The 26,772-nt window shown below is 36.8% G+C and overlaps 1 protein-coding gene and 1 pseudogene across 4 annotated transcripts in view; both read left to right on the top strand.

Moving 5' to 3' along the window:
- The first annotated feature begins 284 nt into the window (after positions 1 to 284).
- Positions 285 to 26,772, top strand: part of POTEA (POTE ankyrin domain family member A (gene/pseudogene)) — a 72,806-nt gene continuing 46,318 nt past the window's right edge. The window contains exons 1-9 of one of the 4 annotated variants that reach the window (XM_024447146.1): positions 285 to 698; positions 4,935 to 5,049; positions 5,201 to 5,374; positions 8,433 to 8,539; positions 9,888 to 10,025; positions 12,614 to 12,684; positions 23,806 to 23,876; positions 25,269 to 25,313; positions 26,371 to 26,537. In XM_024447146.1, the coding sequence (XP_024302914.1) occupies positions 400 to 698; positions 4,935 to 5,049; positions 5,201 to 5,374; positions 8,433 to 8,539; positions 9,888 to 10,025; positions 12,614 to 12,684; positions 23,806 to 23,876; positions 25,269 to 25,313; positions 26,371 to 26,537 (1,187 nt within the window). In that variant the 5' untranslated portion in view covers positions 285 to 399. Of the gene's footprint in view, positions 699 to 4,934; positions 5,050 to 5,200; positions 5,375 to 8,432; positions 8,540 to 9,887; positions 10,026 to 12,613; positions 12,685 to 23,805; positions 23,877 to 25,268; positions 25,314 to 26,370; positions 26,538 to 26,772 lie in introns of those variants that run through there. The other 3 variants (NM_001005365.2, XM_047421756.1, NM_001002920.1) reach the window with 3 other exon arrangements.
- Positions 11,291 to 11,397, top strand: RNU6-104P (RNA, U6 small nuclear 104, pseudogene; annotated as a pseudogene).

Below are 26,772 nucleotides of genomic sequence, written 5' to 3' on the forward strand. Positions count from 1 at the left end.
TGCGCACACCGCACGCGCACGCCCACGTAACGGCTTGGCTGGGCACCCCCGCTTGGCTTGGTGGTCCTGGTTTGGATTGGCTTTACCCTGGCATTCCTTTGCTGGGCTTGACCTTTTCTTGCTGGGCTTGGCATTCCCCTGGCTGGGCTGGGTGTTTCCCCGGTGGGGCGTGCACTTTCCCTGGGTGGTGGAGGGGGCGTGGGCTCTCCCCGGGTGGTGGGGGGACGTGGGATCTCCCCAGTTGGTGGTGGGGGAGGGGTCGTGGGCTCTCCCAGGGTGGGGTTTTGGCTGGGATTGACCTTTCTCCCCTAACAGATTGGAAACTCGTAATTTCCCGCTTTTTGGTGAAACTCGTTGACAGACACCATCTGCTCGCTACTACCAGGCTGTTGAAAGCAGATGGTGGCTGAGGTTTCTCCAAAGCTGGCTGCCTCCCCTATGAAGAAGCCCTTTGGCTTCAGGGGCAAGATGGGCAAGTGGTGCTGCTGCTGCTTCCCCTGCTGCAGGGGAAGCGGCAAGAACAACATGGGTGCTTGGAGAGACCACGACGACAGCGCCTTCACGGAGCCAAGGTATCACGTCCGTCGAGAAGATCTGGGCAAGCTCCACAGAGCTGCCTGGTGGGGTGAAGTCCCCAGAGCGGATCTCATCGTCATGCTCAGGGGCCCTGGCATTAACAAAAGGGACAAGAAGAAGAGGTAACCGGGCCTGGGGCTGGGAGGAGGCGGGACCTTGGGGGATGGGGTTGGACGTGCCCTCGTGTGTGTGTGTGTGTTTGTGGGGGGCGCCCTGGCTTTCTTGCCTCCTCAGGTCCCACGCCACCCGGTGTGTGGATACTTCAGAGAGCTCGGGGCACAGGCCTCTTTATGAGCAGCAACACAAAAACAAAACTTTAGTTGATTTCCAATCCCATAATAATTTCCCTTATGGAACACTTAAGAGACTGTTTTAAAGTGATTTAACTCTCAAAATTAAGTCGATGCAGCAGATTATTTTTAATGTACACATTTTAAAACAATGTTATATACATTATAGAAAGGAGTATAATGAGAACTAAGTCCCATAATATATCAAATTCTGAGATTAAATATTCTTCAGATAAAATCCAATATGCATTTTATATCAATGTACCCCTATGTAAATATGTTCTTTACTGAGGAACCTTAGAAGGAAACTGAAATGGGAAGATAGTTCGTGTCCTTGAATAGGAAGATTTATTTTTCTTAAGATGTGAGCTCTTTTGTGTTTATCACTTTTACCCAAGCCAAATAAAAATAGTAAAGTTTTAACATTTTAAAATTACACATGCTGTCTTTTACTATTGTGATAAATGTTTGTGACAGAATGGAAAAAGACTTGCTCTTCCAGATATCAAAATGTTCATGTGCTATTTCCACAAATTGTTTACTAACAGCTCAAAAGACATAAATAAATAGAACAGAATACAAAATCCAGAAATACCCAAATATATGAATTTAGAACTTGATAGTGGTGATGTTTCATAGTAGTATAAAAAGATGAATTATTCATAAATGAAATGCATGCTGTTTGGAGAAAACTAGCTAGATTTTTTATGTCACAAAAATAAGTTCCTGGGGTATACATTAAAAATTTTAAATATACAAATTAAGAAAAGTGCCAGAAGGAAACACAAATGTCTATTTTTATATGCAGATATATTTTATGTTCACAGAGACCTAAGAACCTCAAAAACAAGTATTCTGAAGGGTGGTTTGGCAAAATAAAAATTAAAACACCCTGTAAATAAGAAAAAAATTAACAAAGGACAAAACACTTGCAAAACATGTATTTTCATTTTACAGAGAATTCTTTCAAATCAACAAGAAGACAACTAAATAAAACAAGCTCAATTTAAAATTGGGCAAAGTACTTTTTTGCATGTCTACCAATGACCTATGCACATAGGAGAACATAGTGTTCCTGATAAGAGAAGGAATTTAAATTAGAAGAGAAATGAAATACTCTTTTCTATCTAAGTTAGAAGAGGAATGAAATTCTGTTTCTATCCACAAAGTTTGTGAGGATGAAGAACAGTGGTACTTATACAGCTTCTTAAGGTTTAAGTTGCTGTGAGTTTTCAAATAGACATTTTGGTGGTAAGAACCACATTTTAAAAATGTATATGCCTTTTACCCATCAATTCCATTATACTGAAATATCTTTTGGAAATAGATACATCTGCTTTTCTTAGTATTACTTAAATAGCAGTGTATTGAGAAGAACTCATGTAAAGATTTTATGAACAAATTTCAGTCCATCCATATGATGGAATAATATGTAACCATTGAGGGTGTCAATAGATACAGAGATAAGTTGACATGCAAAGATGTACTTAGGTATATATCAAGTGAGAAAAAAATCAGTTATACGCAAACAGAATCTGCTCTTGTGTTAGCTGAAAATATGTCAAAAATATGATAAAACTTATTTCTGGGGATTTGTATTGTAAGTGAAGTTTTTCCCTTTATCTTATCTGCGATTTCTGCGATGAACGTCTGAAAAGTTTTAGTTAAGTTTCACTAGTAATGAAATAATCCTTGGGAAGAGAAGGAGTATGCTATTTGCATAAATACAACTAATTTCTCACATTCTAGTATTTATTTTTCTTTCTGTGGATGCGTATCTTCTGTGAATTTTTTTTTTTTTCGACACGGAGTCTCACTCTGTCACCTAGGCTGGAGTGGGGTGGTGCGATCTTGGCTCACTGCAACCTCTGCCTCCTGGGTTCAAGTGGTTATCCTGCCTCAGCCTCCTGAGTAGCTGGGATTACAGGCACGTGCCACTACGCCATGCTAATTTTTGTATTTTTAGTAGAGATGGGGTTTCACCATGGTGGTCAGGCTGGTCTCGAACTACTGACCTCTTGATCTGCCTGCCTCGGCTTCCCAAAGTGCTGAGATTACAGGGGTGAGCCACCATGCCTGGCCTCTTCTGTGAACTTTCATTCTTTTCAGAAGTAGAGGGAATCTGTTTACCTGTTACTGTAGATTTTATTGTGTATATATTTTATTATATAATTATCTTTTCATTGTATATAGATTAACATGTGTAAGAAGTATGGATTAATTATTTTAGTTATATATGAAAATTAAAATAGCAAATATAAATGATTATTACTATTGTGAATGTATTGCTGTACTATACAGGAGTTTTCTTTGAAAATATTGAATTCTTCAGCTGTGTTTATCAATTCTTTCAATCGATTTATTCATCAAACATAAGCCAGACACCTATTATGTGGCAGGCATATTCTACTATCTCTTAGGATCCTTCTATCTTTGAAAATTTCATGTTTCCCTGCCAGGCCTGAGCAAACTGAGAGATTTAAAATTGGACTATTAGGACTTAATCTCAATTGACGCTTTTCCTCTCTCCTTTCAGAAAAAAGCGTTTCGGAAGGTAGAAAATAATAAAACGTAAACTTTAACTGCCTTTTTGAAAATTTATAACAGTCACGGGTAAAGACTAGTTTAGGACTTTTAAGAACTAAAACATGATACTTAAACAGCGTGGAATATTATGCAGCCATAGAAAAAGAACAAGAGCATGTCCTTTGCCAGTGACTTGGATGGAGCTGCAGGCCATTATTCTTAGCAAACTAACCCAGGAATAGAAAACCAAATACTGCATGTTCTCACTTACAGGTGGGAGCTAAATGGTAAGAATGCACAGACACGTAGAGGGGAGCAACACACACTGGGGCCTATCAGAGGGTGGAGGATGGGAGGAAGGAAAGAAGCAGGAAATAAAACTAATGGGTACTGGGCTTAATACCTGTGTGATGAAATAACCTGTACAACTAATGCCCTTGGCACACGTCTGCCTATGTAACAAACCTGCACACCCTGCAGATGTACCCCTGAATATAAAAGTTGAAAAAAAATTCCACAAATAGTTTCATAAATCCATTTTAAAAAATAAAATTTATAACAATCTTAAATCCTAATATTAATGATTGTAAATATCTGATTTACATACATTCTACAAATCTAAGTATTGAAAAAAATTAGCTACACCTATTCATTTGAATTCCATGTTTTCTTTGGCTTAAAGATTTTTGAACACCAAAGTAAGAATTAGTTTATTTTAGAAATTTGTTTTTGTTTTCACCTCAGCCCTCTTAATGTGTAGTTCTTTTAAGAACTAAAATTCATCTAAATGTCAGTCATCTGACCAGAACTGCCCCAGACCTGTTATAGATACCATATTCTACTTAATGTAAGGCACCATAGATTTTATGATGCCCCATTATTTTATGTCACAAGAAGAGAGTTATTTAAATGCTGCCAATTATAGTAAATTGTGAATTATAAGCGGTATTCCAGTGTAAGAAATGTGAAAACATGGAGACAATGAACATCTTAGAATCAATAAAATACAATGTTATCTGTAATCTTTAAGACATATCTCAAAGTGTAGGTGTAATTGTATCATGTCACTTATTTCAAATAGTCTTCATTAAGTAGTAGTATTAATACAAATTATAATATCTGACAATTATTGAGCTGTTATTTGTGTTAGGAACTATTCTACATATTTTGTGTAGAGTCTCATTTAAGCATTATAGTGGTTTTCTGTGAGAAAGCTATTTTTTGCATCCCCATTTTATTGATGACGAAATTGAGACACAAAAAGACTAAGCAACAGCTAGGAAGTGACAGAGCTTAAAACAGTTTTCCAGCTCAAGTTGAATGGAATCCAAGGGCTGCGCTCTTTCTGTTCTGATACTCTGCTCTTTCATTAACACAGTGAGAATAAGAGGTAATAAATAGTGTGCTTTCTTCACAGGAATATTAAATATTTGTTTTGAAGGCTGGGATAGCATGCTATTCAGCATTTGCAATTACATGAGTCATTGGTATGGCTTTAGATAGTGCATTACAATTTCCTAAAAAAGTCTCTCACTCTCTTAGGACTGCTCTACACTTGGCCTGTGCCAATGGCAATTCAGAAGTAGTAAGTCTTCTGCTGGACAGACAATGTCAACTTCATGTCTTTGACAGCAAAAAGAGGACAGCTCTGATAAAGGTATGCAGTAGCCAACTATATCAGCATGAGGTAGATTTAAGATAATTAAAAAAATGAGTTTTCTCATGTAAATATAACTTGGTGAAATCTGTGGAATGTTTATTTTGAATTCCTAGGATTTACAATTGATTTCTTGGTCTAATACTGACAGGCCGTACAATGCCAGGAGGATGAATGTGCGTTAATGTTGCTACAACATGGCACTGATCCAAATCTTCCAGATATGTATGGGAATACTGCTCTACACTATGCAGTCTACAATGAAGATAAATTAATGGCCAAAACACTGCTTTTATACGGTGCTGACATTGAATCAAAAAACAAGGTACAGATCTACCAATTTTATTTTCAAAATACTGAAATACATTTGTTTTAACATCGACTTGTGTAAGGGTCAGTTTGCCATATTTGGAAGCTCAAGCATAACCTGAATGAAAATATTTTGAAATGACTTAATTATCTAAGATTTAATTTTAAATATTGTTACTTTTAAAGAGGCATCAGCAGGTACAGCTTTTTTTATGCACTTGTGGTAAAATTTTTTTGAAAACACTGAATTTGTAAAAGGTAATACTTATTTTTTTTCAATTTTTCCCTTCCAGGTTTTCTTTTCCCTAATCAATGTAAAATGACAAAATTTGCCCTGGAAGCAAGTTTTTCATTAAAACTCCAAGAAAACTAAAACATGTTTCAGTGAATAGAAATCTTGCTGCTTTGGCAAGTTCCTAAAAAAAAAAAAGTAATAGATATGAAGCGATGTATCTTTTAGTGGCAAGGCTTAAGATATTTCTGATTCCTTATAAGGCAGAAATAGAAAATGAAAAGGAGAGCAATCAGAAATATCGAGGCCAATTTGGAAATTAGGTAATGGAGGAAAAAGACCATGAAGAGATTCTGTGTGTGTGTGCTTTTTTTTGTTGTTTGTTCATTTCTTTCCTTTGCGTGGTGAAACAAGGTTCTCTTCAGTTTTAGAGAATGACAGTTTTTTAGTTTGGGAGAGGGAGTTAGTGGGTTGTAAACTGCCTAGAGATTAATTTTAGGAGCCCTCTGAGGAAGCAGATTGGCAGTGAATAGGTGGTATGTAATGGGAAACCCTTGAGCAGAGGGAATATCAGGGAATTATTTGACTTATTATCCTATTCTGGTAGAAATGGCCACTTAGATAGAGTCTAAACTCTGCTTTCAAATCTAGAATGTCTTGATGGGAAGGTGGGAGATAAAGAGCTTATAAGTAATAAGATCAAGTTGGATTTTGAGTTTACTAGGCCCTGTTCTAACCCCATCCAGGAAAATTAAGTGGTGTTTTCAGCAAATGAGTCTCTCACTCTTTCCTTTTTTTTGGCCAAAAGCTCAAATGATAAAGGGAATTGGCCATGTGGGTGAGAGATGAGACTGAAGTAATTGTCTGTTGCACTAGTTTTCAACTAGAAGTGTGCATCTCAGTAACTTGAGGAACATTTTAAAATAATCTACAAGCCTAGACCCTCTCCTGAAGATTTTGATACAGTAAGTCTAATAAAGCCTGGATATGTCCATTTAAAAATGTTTCCTTGAAGGCAGGCATGCTGGTTATGGATGCCTTCCTCCCAGCTGCTAGAGAGGCTGAGGTGGGAGGATTGATTGAGCTCAAGAGTTTGAATCTAGCCTGGACAACATAATGAGACCATGTCTGTAACAACAATGACAGCAACAACAACAACAACAACAACAACAACAAATTCCTTAAAATGCAGATACACTTCTGCTTAAGAACCACTGAATAGATAAGTGTAATATGTAAATTCTCATATCTCAGAAACTTAAGACATCTCTAGAAGAGTTGGAGTTGGATATGCGCAATTTCCTTTAAATCTTTCCTTTCCAATAATATTAGTTTGACTTTCTCTTTCTTTCTTTCTTTCTTTCTTCTTTCTTTCTTTTTTTCTTTCTTTCTTTCTTTCTTTCTTTCTTTCTTTCTTTCTTTCTTTCTTTCTTTCTTTCTTTCTTCTTTCTTCTTTCTTTCTTCTTTCTTTCTTTCTTTTTTTCTTTCTCTCTCTCTTTCTCTTTCTCTCTTTCTTTCTTTCTTTCTTTCTTTCTTTCTTTCTTTCTTTCTTTCTTTCTTTCTTTCTTTCTTTCTTTCTTTCTGACTGGGTCTCACATTGTTTCCCAGGCTGGAGCACAGTGGTGCAATCACAGCTCACTGCAGGCTTGACCTCCCCAAGTACAGGTGGTCCTCCCACCTCCAGTTTGTATTTTATTTATTTATTTATTTTTTTAGTAGAGATGGGTTTTTTGCCATGTTTCCCAGGCTGGTCTTGAATTCCTGTGGTCAAGCGATTCAGCTGCCTCAGTGTCCCAAAATGCTAGGATTACAGTTGTGAGCCACCATGCCTAGCCTAGTCTGACTTTCTTCTCTGTGGTTGGGACATTAAAATGAATATTATTGGTAGTATCTATCAGCTTACAGAATAATACCTTTTCCTTCCTACCATCAGTTATTCACTGCCATTCAGAAGGTCTTTAGAAATTTGCAGTGAGTATTCTTTCAATAAGTAGAGGCTGGCCCTCTCAGGATTTTGTGTCTCTTTGTTATTCAAGTGCTTAAGTCAGTAAGTCATTACTAAGAGCAGAGTTTTCTCAATTAAAATTGTAGCAAATTCCAAACCATTTTTGTCAATTAAAGCCATATTATGGACTATCCAGTATGTCTCTTAAGTTTGTAGAACTTTGGCATAATCAGGATGGTAGTATTAAACACTAAAAACCATGCAGTTATTAAGAATACACATGGGAATTCTGTTAATTTAGTTTCAGCAGTCCTATGAACTGATTATTTAGTTAACAATCAGGAAAATTAAATATAAATAGATTTCAAATGAATAAATATGGGAAAAATTCTTGAAATGGGCAGTATGAGCCTTAATAGCAATTTTTTACTGCACATTGGAGCTTGATTTTTTGGGTAAAACATCTGAAACTGAAGAAATATTTTACATGCAAATTCTTGCTTTATACACAACAATTTGTCACAGGGTTTGAGGATATAGGGATAAAAGATACAGACCCTGCCCTCAAGAAGATTTTTGTTTAGATAGGAAAAATTATTATCATCCAATAATACCATGTCACAAATGCTGGGATAGAGTCAAAGATTCTTGAAACCAGTAAATGTTTAAAGTGAGTTTTCAAGATGACCAGGGTTAATGTGGTGAGGCAGAGGAGGGGTGTTTCCAAGGGAAGAGCAGTGTGTGGGAAAGCACGGAAGAGTGAGAAGGAAACAACTACATTTTATTTACTTTCTATGAGTATAAGTCCATAGGATCTTTATATAAAGTTTCCAATTCAGTTGAGAAATATATAATTTTTTCAGTTACATATTATTTTTGGTTTCTATTGTTTTACAGGGTGGCCTCACACCACTTTTGCTTGCTGTACATGGACAAAAACAGCGAATGGTGAAATTTTTAATCAAGAAAAAAGCTAATTTAAATGCACTTGATAGGTTTGGAAGGTATAGTTATTTCTTTTAATCTCTGTGTTGTTCTAGATTGATAGCAGTCACTCAAGTCATAAATATTAAATTAATAATACTAACTTATACTTATTGGGACATAGTTATCAGTAGCAACACAAATCAGTTAAGTAGAAAAAAACAGTTATTTAGACTGGGCAACATAAAGAACAGTTTTAGTAGGACTCATTTTATTATTTTGACTGATGTTATTTGTTATGTGATGTTATTGGTTGTATGTTCTTATGTTAGCTAAAGGGATTTCATATTAGTTTTAGAAAGTGTGAACTTTAACTTTCAGTTATGACTCAGTCTTGAACTTCTTAACCCTTTCTAGTAGTTTTTAACCTCTGCTTCTTATATGGTTTTCCACTAAATATGCTATATTAAACATAAATAGGAGTTGCAAATCATTTTGTCTTTTGAATAACTCTGCTTTAAGTTGCTTTCTTTAAAGAATATTAATGTTAGCTTATCCCTACTTGACAATCAATTGCTATTCCCACATACTGTGGGTTCATCAGATTTTTCCCTTTTTATTTCCAGTGTATTTTGATGTTTTTATTTTTAATTAGTATGGAGAGAGGGAGCGAAGATAGTCTTAAGTGGATACACTTTTCCTTTCATGAAGGCAAGCCATAGGTGGGTGATAAAGAGAAAAGAGCTAGGCTTTAGAGTCACACAAGACTGGGTTTAATTCCTAGCTTTCTTACTTGCTAGGTGTGTGACATTGTGAATGTTATTTACCACCAAATATGTTGTCATGTATGAAAAGGAGGAGAATATATCCTTCAAAGTTAGCTGTGCATAGTAAGAAAGATATATATATATATATATCTTTATATATATCTTTTTATAGCATTTAATTCAGGGCCTAGCACATGCTTATTGGTATTCATTAACTGAAACCACTATGACCACTATTCTTACCATTTGTTATTACTGCTTTCAGCATGCAGATAGCTCTTATTTATCTGATCCCTAGCTGATTTTCTATTACAGTGTATCAGTCTAGGGACCTGGGAAGAAAACTTCACTTAAATCTTTGTCTACTTCAGATAAGCAGCCCTAGCATAGTTTCTTGCCCATCAAAGGCCTTTAAATTAGTAGCTGCTACTATGCAATACCCCACTGAGATAAGAGGTTTCCTTTTTGTCCCTTCCTTTTAACCTTGATGGTACTTTATAAAGATGAACCCTTGAGCACCCAAGATGCTTATGTCTTTTAGTACATGTAAATGTTTAATTCTGCATGGACGGGCAAGATATTAAATTGGCAAAGTATATTGAATTAGCTTTTAAAATCACTTGAAGTTCCTAAGGGAGAAATTATCTCTATATTATTTTAGAACTGCCCTCATACTTGCTGTACGTTGTGGATCAGCAAGTATAGTTAGTCTTCTACTTCAGCAAAATATTGATGTATTTTCTCAAGATGTATTTGGACAAACTGCTGAAGATTATGCAGTTTCTAGTCATCATAGTATGTAAGTGTTTACATTAAAAGTCTAGTTAAAACTACATTGAGGTTTAAAATAATTATAATGATTGCATCTTATATATCAGGTGAGATGTGATAGATTGATTCAGGTAGTTTTAGAGTGGCTATGATTTAGTCCACTGCATCAGCTAGAAATGAAACAAAAAACTAGACTAGTTAGAAGTACCAATGGGTGCAGGATTCTTTATCTCGGGACTTTTAAGACCTTTATCCTTAGAGATTCCAACATTGTTCATTTCATTCCATGTATAACACCTATGCATGGGATAAAAAATAGTGCCATATCTTTAATTTTTCTAGTTAGTTATTTGGGTCTTGAAATGTTCAGTTTAGGAGAAAGTCTTGTACTGTCTTCTGGGGACTGTCTCCTATATACTCCCTGAATTTTTTGAGAACCAAAGGGATTCACTAAGTCCAAGGAAGACAGTCCTTTTTTTCAAGTCATAAGGAGGAGAAAAAAAGGACATTTTAATCATTCTTTTGTTTCTGTTGATTCTGTTGCTGCATCGTTGCCACTGAAACTGGTCCTGCTGCCTGGTAATGGTTGGCCTTTGACATCAAGATGCGCTTACTGATTCAAATCCCTCAAGTCTTCATGGTGATCCATACATGGACTTCAAAGTTATAAAATTTTTTACATTCACATACCTATGCCTATGTGTTCAGCCATTGTTCCCAAAGCACCAGCACCCTGCTCTGGCAGCTTAGCATCCTGGCTTTATCCACACACAAAGTGAGCAAATTGACCCTTCCACCCACATTCAAAACCTGATGTGGAACCCACATGTTATCCTACACTTAACTGAGACTGTCATGGTAAGAGATCCTTTGAGTCCCATGTTGGTCTTTTCTCTAGCAGATATTAGCTGGGCTTGTTCTAAACTGTCAGAGAGGTTCAAATAATGTGGCAGAAAGAGGTCAGTGTTTGTTTATTCTTCTTTGCTACCATATCTGTACCCTGAGGCACATTTATATTGTGTATAGTACCTTAGGCAGTAGAAAGTCCCATATTAACCTTCCCCAGAGCAGTGAGCACCCAGTTATAGTTGACCCCTTGAATGATCCATTTTCCATAATAATGAGAATCTCCCAAGCTACTTGCATCTCTTCCTCAAGATTTAAAAATATTTTCAAATTCTACCTCACTGGAAGATATTGAAGAGATTTCTCAGGATCTCAAGTAGGTTAGTTGGACTTAGAGCCAAACCTTGTCAATGACTCATCACTGTCCATGTGTAAAAGTAGAGCTTTGTGCTTGCTTAGGCAGCACATATCCTAAAATTGGAACAATACAAAGAAAATTAGCATGGTGCCTGCATAAGGAGGCTGAACCAATTTTTGAAGGATTCCAAGTTTTGTGCAGTCACTGGAAGGTCATTTGACTATTTTCTGACTAGCTCCAAGGAAATGGTGTGAATCAAAGCAAAATGGGTGCCACCTAAATATTGAAATTGTGATTTTTTGCTACAAAAATATTCATGTAAGGTGGTCTAAGAGATGACCCCAGAGCTGAATAATGTGTGGGGTGTTGTGTGAAAAATATATTGCCAGCATGTGACTTGAAAATTCAAGAAGGTCAACTTACAACTTCTTCATGGAACCTAAAAAAAAAAAAAAAAAAGTAGGGTTTTAGTCTCCCATGTCAGCTGGAGATGAGCAGGGAGATGAAGCATCATCCTAACAAACATCTGCTGGTTTAGAGTTTGAGTCTGTAGAGAAGGATCATTGGTCCAAGCCAGGTGTTGACATCCAGTGGATTTTCTGCCCTTGTTGTGATTGGTAAACTCCGTAATAGTGGGCAATCATGTTTTCTACTTTAATGAGATATTTATGAATAAATTTAGTTACAAACTATGAAATAGTTGAGATTCCTTGAATTATAAGCCATAAAGAGTAGGACAACTAATAAGGAAAATTAGGACTTAACATTTCCTGAAAATTACAACATTTGCATATTAGGGCCTATGAACAAAATATACATTGGGTTTTATTTGGGATTCTGAGATAATTTCAGTATAAAGTTTAGGAATAGATTATTTCATTGCTTTACTATTTTTCTGAGCATTTAGAAAATGTTATATTGTTAAGTCTTTGTAACAACCTAGTGAAATAACAACCTAGTGAAATAAGGCAGCAAAGTCCCCACTTTGTAGAAATAACAACCTAGTGAAATAAAGCAGCAAAGTCCTCACTTTGTAGAAGAAGACATTGAGCCTAAGAGAAGTAACTTGTCCAAGAACAAGTTGAGCACTTAGGCATAGGTATGGATCAGCTGTTCATTATGGAGCTAGGCCTTATGCAGAGTTGGGACACTTTCTATTGTGTCAAGCTAATGCAAGTTAGTTTATTGAGTCATAATGCCCTTGATTTATGAGTATTTCACCTTACTTTTTTCTTCTTTAATTAGAAGCTTAATGAGAGGTTTGTAGAATGTACACAGAACTGTATGGGATAATATTGTTAAGTTCTGATATTCTGATACTGTTTGAAATACTCAAAGAATTTTTGCATTTGGTAAGCATTTTTATATCAGTATTAAAATAGTAATTTTATTTATTACATTTTTATACATAGAATTTGCCAATTACTTTCTGACTACAAAGAAAACCAGATGCCAAACAACTCTTCTGGAAATAGCAATCCAGGTAAGACTTCTGATAGTGAATTACTTTAGGTCAGTTGTCCCCAACCTTTTCGCCTTCTTGGCAGCAGGGACCAGTTTTGTGGAAGACAATTTTTGCATGGACTAGGTGAAGGTGTGGATGGTTTCAGAATTATTCAAGCACATTACATTTATTATGCTACTTTATTTATATTATTATTACCTTATAATATATAATGAAATAATTATACAACTTACCATAATGTAGAATCAGTGGAAACTCTGAGCTTGTTTTCCTGCAACTAGATGTCCCATCTGGGGGCAAAGGGAGACAGTGACAGATCATCAGGCATTACATTCTGATAAGAAGCACACAACCTAGATCCCTCACATGGGCAGTTCACAACAGGGTTCATGCTCCAATGAGTATCTAATGCAACCACTGATCTGACAGGAGGTGGAGAGCAGGCAGTAATATGAGTCATGGGGTGTGGCTGTAAATAGAGATGAAGCTTCCCTGGCTTGCTTGCTTCTCACCTTCTACTCTGTGGCATGGTTCCTAACAAGCCATGGACTGGTACCAGTCCATGGCCTGGGAGTTGTGGATGCTTGATCTGGGTGGTCCTATCACAGATAAAAAGGTAAAAGTAAGGAAGTTTTGATCACAAAAGAAGAGCGAAGCACAGGTTATGTTTCATATGCTTGTACCAACAAAGTCTCACTATTACTGACTTCATTCCTCCTAATTTGAAATTGAAAGAGATAGATTTACTTTGTTGGAACAAGATGTATTCTTCTACCTGCTGGTTAATTGTCATGATAAACAGTAATTTTGTTAGAACAAGATGCTTTGCTGCCAGTCGCCAAAAGATTGTCATAATAAATACACAAATTGCCCAATTCTAGGCTCAGCAGATTATAATAAAAGTACAAAAATGTTTCACAGTAAGAAAAATGCTAGTATGCTACCTGGATGTGGACACCTAACGCATCGTACAATCCAGACTCTATAAGGACATCTTTAATTTAGCCCTATGTTTATCAAAGAGCTTCTGTAAGTTAGATTGTGTACATTGCAAGAGACAAAGATGGAATAGATGTAGTTCTGATCTTTAAGGTGCTCATAATAGAATACAGCTGCCTCTATTTCATTTCTCTGCCTTTTCAACAGAATTTACAAAGAAAATATTTTTATGTTTTCACTTGTCCACTTAACAAATAACTATAAAATGTCTTTTAGGTACTAAGCATTTTTCTAATGCTAGAGAACAGAAACAATTAAAAATACAGACAGGAGTTTGTCATTATCATTGTCATTTTTATTATGTTCCTACCTTATTCAGTGCTTACTGTGTGCTAGATGCCCACTGGAAGTTTATAATTATGATTTATTGTATATTATATTGATTATGTGCCAGACATACGTGATGAGGAATGAAAGCTTTAAAAAAAAGTAGGTAGGATTTAAGGTAAGCATGCAGAGTGAGTAGAATTTTTCTACGTAAAGAAGTAGAAGAATGATGTTTGGCAGAAGGAACATGTAATGAGATTGCCTGTTGGGAGGAAGAGCAGCAAGTGCAAAAGACAAGATGCTTAAGCGAACTTTGTAGGGTTTATGAGCAGTTCACTTTTGCTAGTACAACTAGTGTGAGATAAGAGAGGTTGGGAATGAGGTGAATATTTAGCTAAGGCAAGTTTATGATAGACTTTTTAATACTGTTGAAATGAGTAGGTCTTATTCTGGGGACCACGGGAAATTTACCTTCGATATCTTCCAGTGAGGTATTTGCTTTGGACTGCAAATACTAGATGAGCAGTGGCTAAAACAGTAGGAACCAGAGTTGTTTTGGTTGTTCAGTGATATACTAGGTTCCCCTTGTCCCTCTTTCAGCTGTGCTTCATGTCTCCTTTCATGGTTGGCTAATCCACAACAGTTCCAAACATCTTGTTCTCACAACACAACATCACAAGGGCTGCTTTTCTTCACACATGTCTTTTAAATAGGGAGAAACCTTAGAAGCATGCAGTGGACTTCCTGTAACATATTATTGGCTAGGTCACAACATATGCTTATCCCTAAACCAGGCACTGGAAGAGCAAATGTAAGTATGTGATTAGCTTAGAATAATCATTTCTCTTTCTGAAGCTGAGGAGGGGGATTGGAATACTGTCTCAGAAGACTTGTGTTTCTTCTGCAAGAAAGAATAAGGAATAAGAAAGAATAAGGGAGCCAGCAATGTTTGCTGCAGGGACTCATTGGAGAAATTTGAGCAGGGGAGTCACAAGATTAAATTAGAGTATTAAGGCCTTTTGGTAATGTTGTAAAACAGGGGTTGGCAAGCTTTTTCTGTAAATGACCAGGTGGGGAATGTTTTAGACTATGTGGTCTCTGTCATATCTACTTAACCCTGCTGTTGTGTGAGAGCAACTATGGATAATATGTAAGCAAATAGGAATGAGTGAGCTCCAATAAAATGTTATTTTTTTTTTCACTTTTGGCATTTTTAATAGGATTTTTAGGCATAACATCTTACATAACCACACAGAAACTGTTTCTGGTCTTTTTTTATTATTATACTTTAAGTTTTAGGGTACATGTGCACATTGTGCAGGTTAGTTACATATGTATACATGTGCCATGCTGGTGAGCTGCACCCACTAACTCGTCATCTAGTATTATGTATATCTCCCAATGCTATCACTCCCCACTCCTCCCACCCCACAACAGTTCCCAGAGTGTGATATTCCCCTTCCTGTGTCCATGTGATCTCATTGTTCAATTCCCACCTATGAGTGAGAATATGTGGTGTTTGGTTTTTTGTTCTTGTGATAGTTTACTGAGAATGATGATTTCCAATTTCATCCATGTCCCTACAAAGGACATGAACTCATCATTATTTATGGCTGCATAGTATTCCATGGTGTATATGTGCCACATTTTCTTAATCCAGTCTATCATTGTTGGATATTTGGGTTGGTTCCAAGTCTTTGCTATTGTGAATAATGCCTCGATAAACATACGTGTGAATGTGTCTTTATAGCAGCATGATTTATAGTCCTTTGGGTACATACCCAGTAATGGGATGGCTGGGTCAAATGGTATTTCTAGTTCTAGATCCCTGAGGAATCGCCACACTGACTTCCACAATGGTTGAACTAGTTTACAGTCCCACCAACAGTGTAAAAGTGTTCCTATTTCTCCACATCCTCTCCAGCACCTGTTGTTTCCTGACTTTTTAATGATTGCCATTCTAACTGGTGTGAGATGGTATCTCATTGTGGTTTTGATTTGCATTTCTCTGATGGCCAGTGATGATGAGCACTTTTTCATGTGTTTTTTGGCTGCATAAATGTTTTCTTCTGAGAAGCGTCTTTTCATCTCCTTTGCCCACTTTTTGATGAGGTTGTTTGTTTTTTTCTTGTAAATTTGTTTGAGTTCATTGTAGATTCTGGATATTAGCCCTTTGTCAGATGAGTAGGTTGTGAAAATTTTCTCCCATTTTGTAGGTTGCCTGTTCAATCTGATGGTAGTTTCTTTTGCTGTGCAGAAGCTCTTTAGTTTAATTAGATCCCATTTGTCAATTTTGTCTTTTGTTGCCATTGCTTTTGGTGTTTTAGACATGAAGTCCTTGCCCATGCCTATGTCCTGAATGGTAATGCCTAGGTTTTCTTCTAGGGTTTTTATGGTTTTAGGTCTAACCTTTAAGTCTTTAATCCATCTTGAATTGATTTTTGTATAATGTGTAAGGAAGGGACCCAGTTTCAGCTTTCTCCATATGGCTAGCCAGTTTTCACAGCACCATTTATTAAATAGGGAATCCTTTCCCCATTGCTTGTTTTTGTCAGGTTTGTCAAAGATCAGATAGTTGTAGATATGCGGTGTTATTTCTGAGGGCTCTGTTCTGTTCCATTGATCTATATCTCTGTTTTACTACCAGTACCATGCTGTTTTGGTTACTGTAGCCTTGTAGTATAGTTTGAAGTCAGGTAGTGTGATGCCTCCAGCTTTGTTCTTTTGGCTTAGGATTGACTTGGCGATGTGGGCTCTTTTTTGGTTCCATATGAACTTTAAAGTAGTTTTTTCCAATTCTGTGAAGAAAGTCATTGGCAGCTTGATGGGGATGGCATTGAATCTGTAAATTACCTTGGGCAGTATGGCCATTTTCACGATATTGATTCTTCCTACCCATGAGCATGGAATGTTCTTCCATTTGTTTGTATCCTCTTTTATTTCCTTGAGCAGTGGTTTGTAGTTCTCCTGGAAGAGGTCCTTCACATCCCTTGTAAGTTGGATTCCTAGGTATTTTATTCTCTTTGAAGCAATTGTGAATGGGAGTTCACTGATGATTTGGCTCTCTGTTTGTCTGTTGTTGGTGTATAAGAATGCTTGTGGTTTTTGTACATTGATTTTGCATCCTGAGACTTTGCTGGAGTTGCTTATCAGCTTAAGGAGATTTTGGGCTGAGACGATGGGGTTTTCTAGATATACAATCATGTCGTCTGCAAACAGGGACAATTTGATTTCCTCTTTTCCTAATTGAATACCCTTTATTTCCTTCTCCTGCCTAATTGCCCTGGCCAGAACTTCCAACACTATGTTGAATAGAAGTGGTGAAAGAGGGCATCCCTGTCTTGTGCCAGTTTTCAAAGGGAATGCTTCCAGTTTTTGCCCATTCAGTATGATATTGGCTGTGGGTTTGTCATAGATAGCTCTTATTATTTTGAAATACATCCCATCAATACCTAATTTATTGAGAGTTTTTAGCATGAAGGTTGTTGAACTTTGTCAAAGGCTTTTTCTGCATCTATTGAGATAATGATGTGGTTTTTGTCTTTGGTTCTGTTTATATGCTGGATTACATTTATTCATTTGCGTATATTGAACCAGCCTTGCATCCCAGGGATGAAGCCCACTTGATCATGGTGGATAAGCTTTTTGATGTTCTGCTGGATTCGTTTTGCCAGTATTTTATTGAGGATTTTTGCATCAGTGTTCATCAAGGATATTGGTCTAAAATTCTCCTTTTTTGTTGTGTCTCTGCCCGGCTTTGGTATCAGAATGATGCTGGCCTCATAAAATGAGTTATGGAGGATTCCCTCTTTTTCTGTTGATTGGAATAGTTTCAGAAGGAATGGTACCAGTTCCTCCTTGTACCTCTGGTAGAATTCGGCTGTGAATCCATCTGGTCCTGGACTCTTTTTGGTTGGTAAGCTATTGATTATTGCCACAATTTCAGCTCCTGTTATTGGTCTATTCAGAGATTCAACTTCTTCCTGGTTTAGTCTTGGGAGAGTGTATGTGTCGAGGAATTTATCCATTTCTTCTAGATTTTCTAGTTTATTTGCGTAGAGGTGTTTGTAGTATTCTCTGATGGTAGTTTGTATTTCTGTGGGACCGGTGGTGATATCCCCTTTATCATTTTTTATTGCATCTATTTGATTCTTCTCTCTTTTTTTCTTTATTAGTCTTGCTAGCAGTCTATCAATTTTGTTGATCCTTTCAAAAAAACCAGCTCCTGGGTTCATTAATTTTTTGAAGGGTTTTTTGTGTCTCTATTTCCTTCAGTTCTGCTCTGATTTTAGTTATTTCTTGCCTTCTGCTAGTTTTTGAATGTGTTTGCTCTTGCTTTTCTAGTTCTTTTAATTGTGATGTTAGGGTGTCAATTTTCAATCTTTCCTGCTTTCTCTTGTGGGCATTTAGTGCTATAAATTTCCCTCTACACACTGCTTTGAATGCATCCCGGAGATTCTGGTATGTTGTGTCTTTGTTCTCGTTGGTTTCAAAGAACATCTTTATTTCTGCCTTCATTTAGTTATGTACCCAGTAGTCATTCAGGAGCAGGTTGTTCAGTTTCCATGTAGTTGAGCGGTTTAGAGTGAGATTCTTAATCCTGAGTTCTAGTTTGATTGCACTGTGGTCTGAGAGATAGTTTGTTATAATTTCTGTTCTTTTACATTTGCTGAGGAGAGCTTTACTTCCAAGTAGGTGGTCAATTTTGGAATAGGTGTGGTGTGGTGCTGAAGAAAATGTATATTCTGTTGATTTAGGGTGGAGAGTTCTGTAGATGTCTATTAGGTCTGCTTGGTGCAGAGCTGAGTTCAATTCCTGGGTATCCTTGTTAACTTTCTGTCTCATTGATCTGTCTAATGTTGACAGTGGGGTGTTAAAGTCTCCCATTATTAATGTGTGGGAGTCTAAGTTTCTTTGTAGGTCACTCAGAACTTGCTTTATGAATCTGGGTGCTCCTGTATTGGGTGCATATATATTTAGGATAGTTAGCTCTTCCTGTTGAATTGATCCCTTTACCATTATGTAATGGCCTTCTTTGTCTCTTTTGATCTTTGTTGGTTTAAAGTCTGTTTTATCAGAGACTAGGATCACAACCCCTGCCTTTTTTTATTTTCCATTTGCTTGGTAGATCTTCCTCCATCCTTTTATTTTGAGCCTATGTGTGTCTCTGCATGTGAGATGGTTTTCCCGAATACAGCACACACTCGACTCTTTATCCAATTTGCCAGTCTGTGTCTTTTAATTGGACCATTTAGTCCATTTACATTTAAAGTTAATATTGTTATGTGTGAATTTGATCCTGTCATTATGATGTTAGCTGGTTATTTTGCTCGTTAGTTCATGCAATTTCTTCCTAGTCTCGATGGTCTTTACATTTTGGCATGATTTTTCAGCGGCTGGTACCCGTTGTTCCTTTCCATGTTTAGCACTTCCTTCAGGAGCTCTTTTAGGGCAGGCCTGGTGGTGACAAAATCTCTCAGCATTTGCTTGTCTGTAAAGTATTTTATTTCTCCTTTGCTTATGAAGCTTAGTTTGGCTGGATATGAAATTCTGGGTTGAAAATTCTTTTCTTGAAGAATGTTGAATATTGGCCCCCACTCTCTTCTGGCTTGTAGAGTTTCTGCTGAGAGATCCGCTGTTAGTCTGATGGGCTTCCCTTTGAGGGTAATCCGACCTTTCTCTCTGGCTGCCCTTAACATTTTTTCCTTCATTTCAACTTTGGTGAATCTCACAATTATGTGTCTTGGAGTTGCTCTTCTCGAGGAGTATCTTTGTGGCATTTTCTGTATTTCCTGAATCTGAAAGTTGGCCTGCCTTGCTAGATGGGGAAAGTTCTCCTGGGTAATATCCTGCAGAGTGTTTTCCAACTTGGTTCCATTCTCCCCGTCAGTTTCAGGTACACCAATCAGACGTAGATTTGGTCTTTTCACATAGTCCCATATTTCTTGGAGGCTTTGCTCATTTCTTTTTATTCTTTTTTCTCTAAACTTCCCTTCTCGCTTCATTTCATTCATTTCATTTTCCATCATTGATACCCTTTCTTCCAGTTGATCACATCGGCCCCTGAGGCTTCTGCATTCTTCACGTAGTTCTCGAGCCTTGGTTTTCAGCTCCATCACCTCCTTTAAGCACTTCTCTGTATTGGTTATTCTAATTATACATTCTTCTAAATTTTTTTCGAAGTTTTCAACTTCTTTGCCTTTGGTTTGAATGTCCTCCTGCAGCTCAGAGTAATTTGATCGTCTGAAGCCTTCTTCTCTCAGCTTGTCAAAGTCATTCTCCATCCAGCTTTGTTCCGTTGCTGGTGAGGAACTGCGTTCCTTTGGAGGAGGAGAGATGCTCTGCTTTTTAGAGTTTCCAGTTTTTCTGTTCTGTTTTTTTCCCCATCTTTGTGGTTTTATCTACTTTTGGTCTTTGATGATGGTGACGTACAGATGGGTTTTTGGTGTGGATGTCCTTTCTGTTTGTTAGTTTTCCTTCTAACAGACAGGACCCTCAGCTGCAGGTCTGTTGGAATACCCTGCCGTGTGAGATGTCAGTGTGCCCCTGCTGGGGGGTGCCTCCTAGTTAGGCTGCTCGGGGTCAGGGGTCAGGGACCCACTTGAGGAGGCAGTCTGCCCGTTCTCAGATCTCCAGCTACGTGCTGGGAGAACCACTGCTCTCTTCAAAGCTGTCAGACAGGGACATTTAAGTCTGCAGAGGTTACTGCTGTCTTTTTGTTTGTCTGTGCCCTGCCCCCAGAGGTGGAGCCTATAGAGGCAGGCAGGCCTCCTTGAGCTGTGGTGGGCTCCACCGAGTTCAAGCTTCCTGGCTGCTTTGTTTAGCTAAGCAAGCCTGGGCAATGGCGGGCGCCCGTTGCCCAGCCTTGCTGCCGCCTTGCAGTTTGATCTCACACTGCTGTGCTAGCAATCAGCGAGACTCTGTGGGCGTAGGACCCTCTGAGCCAGGTGCGGGATATAATCTCGTGGTGCGCCGTTTTTTAAGCAGGTCAGAAAAGCGCAGTATTCGGGTGGGAGTGACCCGATTTTCCAGGTGCGTCCGTCACCCCTTTCTTTGACTCAGAAAAGGAACTCCCTGACCCCTTGTGCTTCCCAAGTGAGGCAATGCCTCACCCCGCTTTGGCTCACACACGGTGCACGCACCCACTGACCTGCGCCCACTGTCTGGCACTTCCAAGTGAGATGAACCCAGTACCTCAGATGGAAATGCAGAAATCACCCATCTTCTGCGTTGCTCACGCTGGGTGCTGTAGACCGGAGTTCAATAAAATGTTATTTAGAAAACCATAAGGGAGACTGGATTTGGCCTGTGGCCTATAGTTTTCTGACCCCTCATAGAGGATTGATGGAAGGTAACCATGTAAAGAAACCAGGAGACAAAGGAAGATTTGCTGTAGTCAGCTACAGTTTCCTTGTCACATGTCCTTGGACTAGTATCAATTTATTATAAGGTTTTCACCCATCCATCGTGAAATAAATAAAGTTAGGAATCTCAGTTATTCATTTTAAAATGTTGGCCTTTTTTTGGTGTTATGCCTTTTTCATTTGTTTTGTTTTAATTTTTTTTCATGTAAGAAATAACATTAACAGCTGGGTTTTTTAAAAAAATAAAAGCCACTTTGTAAATGTTTATGTTCCCAGTGGCAGTGGGAATATAAAATGGAAGCAGAAGAGAGGTATAGTCAATATGATTTAGTGACTGTTGAATGAGAAAATTTAGGGGACAGAGAGAAATCCCAGATGATTCACAGGTTTCCAGGTTGTACAGTATTATTTAACCTGAACATGAGGAAGGAGTAGGAAATTTTCTGGTGAATACAGAAGAGCAAAGAAGAGCAGCTCAAGAGGAATGACTAATTATTTTTCTGTGCATGTTTAATGGGATATTCATATAGGATTTTTGAATAGATCATTGAATATCAGCATTTATAGCTGGCATCCTACTAGTTTGACTCTCAGTAATAAGACTTGTCAAAGATCCAAGAATCTGAAAGTTGATGATAAATTTCCATGTGTATCACCATCAATGACTGAAAGTCAGCATCCACAGAATTGGGAGAGATGAACTTAATAGATAAAGATGAATTGGAGTTGTGTTTCTCTTAGAGAATGATACTCTCCATGACTTGTGTGAGTCACAGCTGCCAGAAAACAAAGAGGCCAAGGAACATATTAAAGAAGCACAGCAAATTCAGTCCTAGAGTGCCTCTGCTTGGCTTCGTGTTATAGTTCTGACTTCTAAAAAATCACTTTTTGGCAAAATATACTTTGTGTTTCTTCCCCTCTTGCAAACTGCAACCAAACAGAATCCTTTTTAGCAAGGCATTTTTGTGTTCTTTGACCAAAGCAACATATAAATAACAAAAAGAAGTAAGAGAAAGAACTTTTTTTTGTGTGTATAGGCTAGTATTTAACATAAACTTGAGAGTGAGTGCCAGTATTATATTTAGGATTTAGGGACTAGATAGGAAAACTGGATAGAAATCTAAAGATTGCTGACTCAAACACAATGTGGTTTCTTTGCTTTATTTTCACAGCTCTGAATTCACAACTATTAGTTATATTTATATGCACTATAACTTTAGAAAGCACCTTCCCAAACCAAATTTTATGTGATTTCTTATAATTTAGATGACTTTATTATAGAATTGAATTTCCAACTGTTCATAAGAATTATTGAGCATTTGCTGCATAGTATCATCTCAGCTGTGTCCACATGAGCTACCTATCACCTTGTGTTAATGAATAATGGTTCACCAGGAATATTGGTTTTGGCATTTAAAGTGATCTGTATTTAATGCAGATAGGACCAGGGACCACTCTTGAACATTAATGTCCAAGCATCTTAAAATTACACAGAATGCTTTCATAATCAGAATTCTGCCTCACTCTCCATCTTTAGCCCTTTTCCCCATGTGCCCTTTCTCTGGCATTACTGAACTGCCTGCAATGCCCTACTCACTCATCCTTCTCTTGTAGGCAAATACATTCACTCTTTCACACCTTACTCCCTCTCTTGCTGCTTCCTGGCATACTGCCAACCTTTCCTGCCCTCTACCCCTTGTAATCTGGCTAGCCTCAATATTTAAGTCTCTGCTTGGCCATGATTTCTAGAAAACCATCCCTGACATGCTTTATTTTCATTCTTTTTAAATCCTAATGCCTACTATGTATGTAGCAGGACTCAGTAAAAAATTGCTGAGTAAAATAAAGAATGTTTATACAAAGGTGATATGCAAGACTGTCCCCTACAGTCTTGGAGCCGAGGGGACAGACATGTGGAGCAATAACGTACATTTGAGATGGTAAAGATGCAGTAGAAAAATAAGTAAAGTATTAAGGCAGCCTCAAGGAAGGAGGTACCTGTTTATCTGGGGAAAGACATGCAGAATCAAGGAAGACTTCACATAGCATTGTTTTAAAAGATGAAAAAAATTGTCAGAATAGTGGAGGGAAACATTTAAATATTAGGAAGACATTGTACACTAATAAAGGTGTCAGCAGTGATTTTGGAAATCATTTACAAGGCACTATTAGGAAGTGGAGAACAGTATACTGTGTTACCTTATATGTTTCTGCCGTATTTTAATATTGTGTTCCTGGTGGTTTTGTTCATTTACGTTGGGTGGATGAATTTGTGAGTGAATGTTTGACATGTTTGTATGTCCTCAATCTGGTGGACTCTGGTATCTCCCCAAGTGGTTTGTTGAAGTTTTGGAGAATTATTACTTAAGTAACTATTTCATGAAAGATTAAGCTTCATTTAAGCGCTCAATTTATGAAATGAAATGTCTTAAATCTATTTTTATAAAAACAATAGTTTTAAATTGTTCTAAGTGGTTCATTTTAACCAAATATATGGATTTCACTTCAGAACAAGACTTAAAGCTGACATCAGAGGAAGAGCCACAAAGGCTTAAAGGAAGTGAAAATAGTCAGCATGAGGCATGTAAAATTTTAAATTTAAATTTCTGGTTTAATGTTCTTTTCTTTGCTTTGATAATAGTAGATAGTCCAAATGAAATTACCTTTCAGACTAGGCTTTGATAATCAATAAATTTTTTAAAATAATTTTTTAATAGATTCTTAAAGTTTATTTTAATAGATTTAGTGACCTTATTAACAGAAGAATCAATAGAATCTAATTTAATATTTGATATTTAACTTAAAGATTATAACCCACTATAAAATTTAAAATATTCTTATTTAAAATATTCTTATCTGCCTTCTTGATTGGCTTATAGCTAATCTTTCCCTTTGGAATAGAGGCAAAACAAATCCAGAACTTTATTTGTTCTTTTATTTTTACAACATCCTTACATGATAAAGAAAGTAACATCAATTATTGGATCATATTATCAAGCAATTGAAATTATGAACAATGTAGCAGTGATGGTCCCTGAGCTGGATTCATGGCAAAGGAGTAATCATGGCCAGTGATTGAAAATCTGCGGTTTTATATTGCCAGTCAGTGATGCCAAGGTTAAAGATGAATTCTACCTGTGGTCTCTCACTGACCTCAGGGTTTCTGTTCAGGGAGAGAACCAGGTCTTAAAAGCAACCCAACTGCCTATTACAATAATCATATCTTGCAGAATGAGACCTTTGTTGTTAGTGTACAAACACAGTAACATTTTAACATTTCAGTTGCAGAACATCAGTACATATTATTTAAAAATTTTTATCCTCTGTCATTAGTACACATTAGAATATATTAGAACTGGACTTAAGCCGATAGTCTAGATACATAACATGATCGTATTATAGTACATAATTTCAATTAAAATGTAACAATTTGCATTTCTTTCTGTTTGGTGTTGATTTTGGCTCCTAATAATTTAAAGTGTGCCTACACTCCAGTTAGTAATCTTTTAAAAAACCACCTAAATGCACTGTAGGGGCTCACTACTTAAGGTATGGTGAAGTAAAATCTTTTCAAGTGAGAAAAACCCTACAAATTACCTGCTAATTCATTTTGGTAGATTTAACACATAATGAATTAAGTTTAATCCAAACAAAAGGTGACAAAGTTAAGTTTTCCAGTTCATGTTTTTCTTCTTTCTTTGGCTAAGGTGAATTTTTTTATGTTTTAGTCAGAAGCCAGTGATGTGGCAGTAGCTAAACATAGAATAAAATGTTAATTCTTCATTTTAGTTATTTAATTATTATTTCTTTAATTATTTTAACAGGTAAATTTTAATTTTAATTATTTTCTAATTTTTTATTGTCCATACTTGATTACTTAAGAATAAAATTATTTTAAAAACATGTACTCCAAAAGAGCAGACATCTGAGAAACACAACAAGCAAATTAACCTTCTATAATTGCATCTGCAGAAAGTGACTCAAGAACCAGACATAAATAAGGATTGCGATAGAGAGGTATACCTTTATATTCAAATGTTTCCGTTGAATTAGATTTTTACATTATGTTGTTTAACAAAGTATAATAAGTTTAGGCATGTATGATTCTATCATGTAAGTAGCATAAATCATCAGTGAAAAATTTAGTATGTAACTCAGAAAGCTGAGTTGTGTACATTAAGTTTTAAAGAGAGACAAACCCTAGAAATATTCTTCATTATTATGGAATAATCCTGAATGGTGCCAAAAATGCTACGTAATGCTACTTTAGGAGCTTTGGATCAATCATTTTATCTTTCTTGGTATTAGTCTGATTATCAATAGATAATATGGCTAAAGAAGATAATTTGTTATTCTGTATATCCTCTAGCTAGAAAGTTTTATGGCCACTGAATGTGAAATTTGGGGAGCGTCTCATTTACTGGAATTCCATGCTAGCACCTCAGCAGTTTTATTCTGCTTTTTGTGTTGTGGGAAACTTTGGTTCCCATGTTTCAGTGAGCACTTTCATGTTTTTGATATCCCAGCAACCATATGAAAAAGCAATGATCACAGGCAGTGGGGGAGAAGAATATTTTAGTGCAGGAAAGGGAAATCTTCCTTTCTATTCCTGGAGCCCGACAGTGTCTCATCCTCTAAATCTGACTGCTTAATGGAAAATCCAGGTTGTAAAGATGGAAGAAGACACATTTTGCATCTTTGTGTTTTTATTTGTGTGTTCCCACAAGTCAAATGGGGTGAATATTTATATTAGATTCTGAAGAGTGGTTGGGAATAAAAGCACAAAATGAAATTTTGAAATTTTGGAAATTTTGAAATTTTGGAAAATTGTTCTATTCATTCAAAGAGAAATAAAGCAAACTTTACAAAAATTTTAATGATATACTAATGATGTAATAATTACATCTTAAAATTATATGGTAACAGTTCTGTATATATGATCAAATTTAAGTGTGAAATATTTTTAATGACAAATTATGACAAACTGAGTCAAATGATAAAATCAATTAAAACAAAAAGGTACTTTTTATTCAATAAAGCAATAACTGTCCTTAATATCAAACTTCCACTCAAGGTTGAAGAAGAAATGCAGAAGCATGGAAGTAATAATGTGGGATTATCAGAAAACCTGACTGATGGTGCTGCTGCTGGCAATGGTGATGGTGGATTAGTTCCACAAAGAAAGAGCAGAAAGCATGAAAATCAGCAATTTCCTAACACAGAGATTGAAGAGTATCACAGGTAAGCCTATGGCAACATTTAACAGGAGATAACTATGTGCTATCAAACTAATCCGAATTTGGACTAATATTCATGATGAAAAAATTTTATACTTTTCCTAGGATATTCAGCCTTGCCTGGTAATCAGAAGAATGAAAATCAGCAAACAATGAGTTATATTTTTTCCAGTCATTAATTTATTTGAAAAATAACCAGTGTTGGCAAATGTGAGGGAAAAAGCATTTTCTTTTCTTTT

Source organism: Homo sapiens, chromosome 8 (genome assembly GCF_000001405.40).
Source record: "Homo sapiens chromosome 8, GRCh38.p14 Primary Assembly".
NCBI lineage: Eukaryota > Metazoa > Chordata > Mammalia > Primates > Hominidae > Homo > Homo sapiens.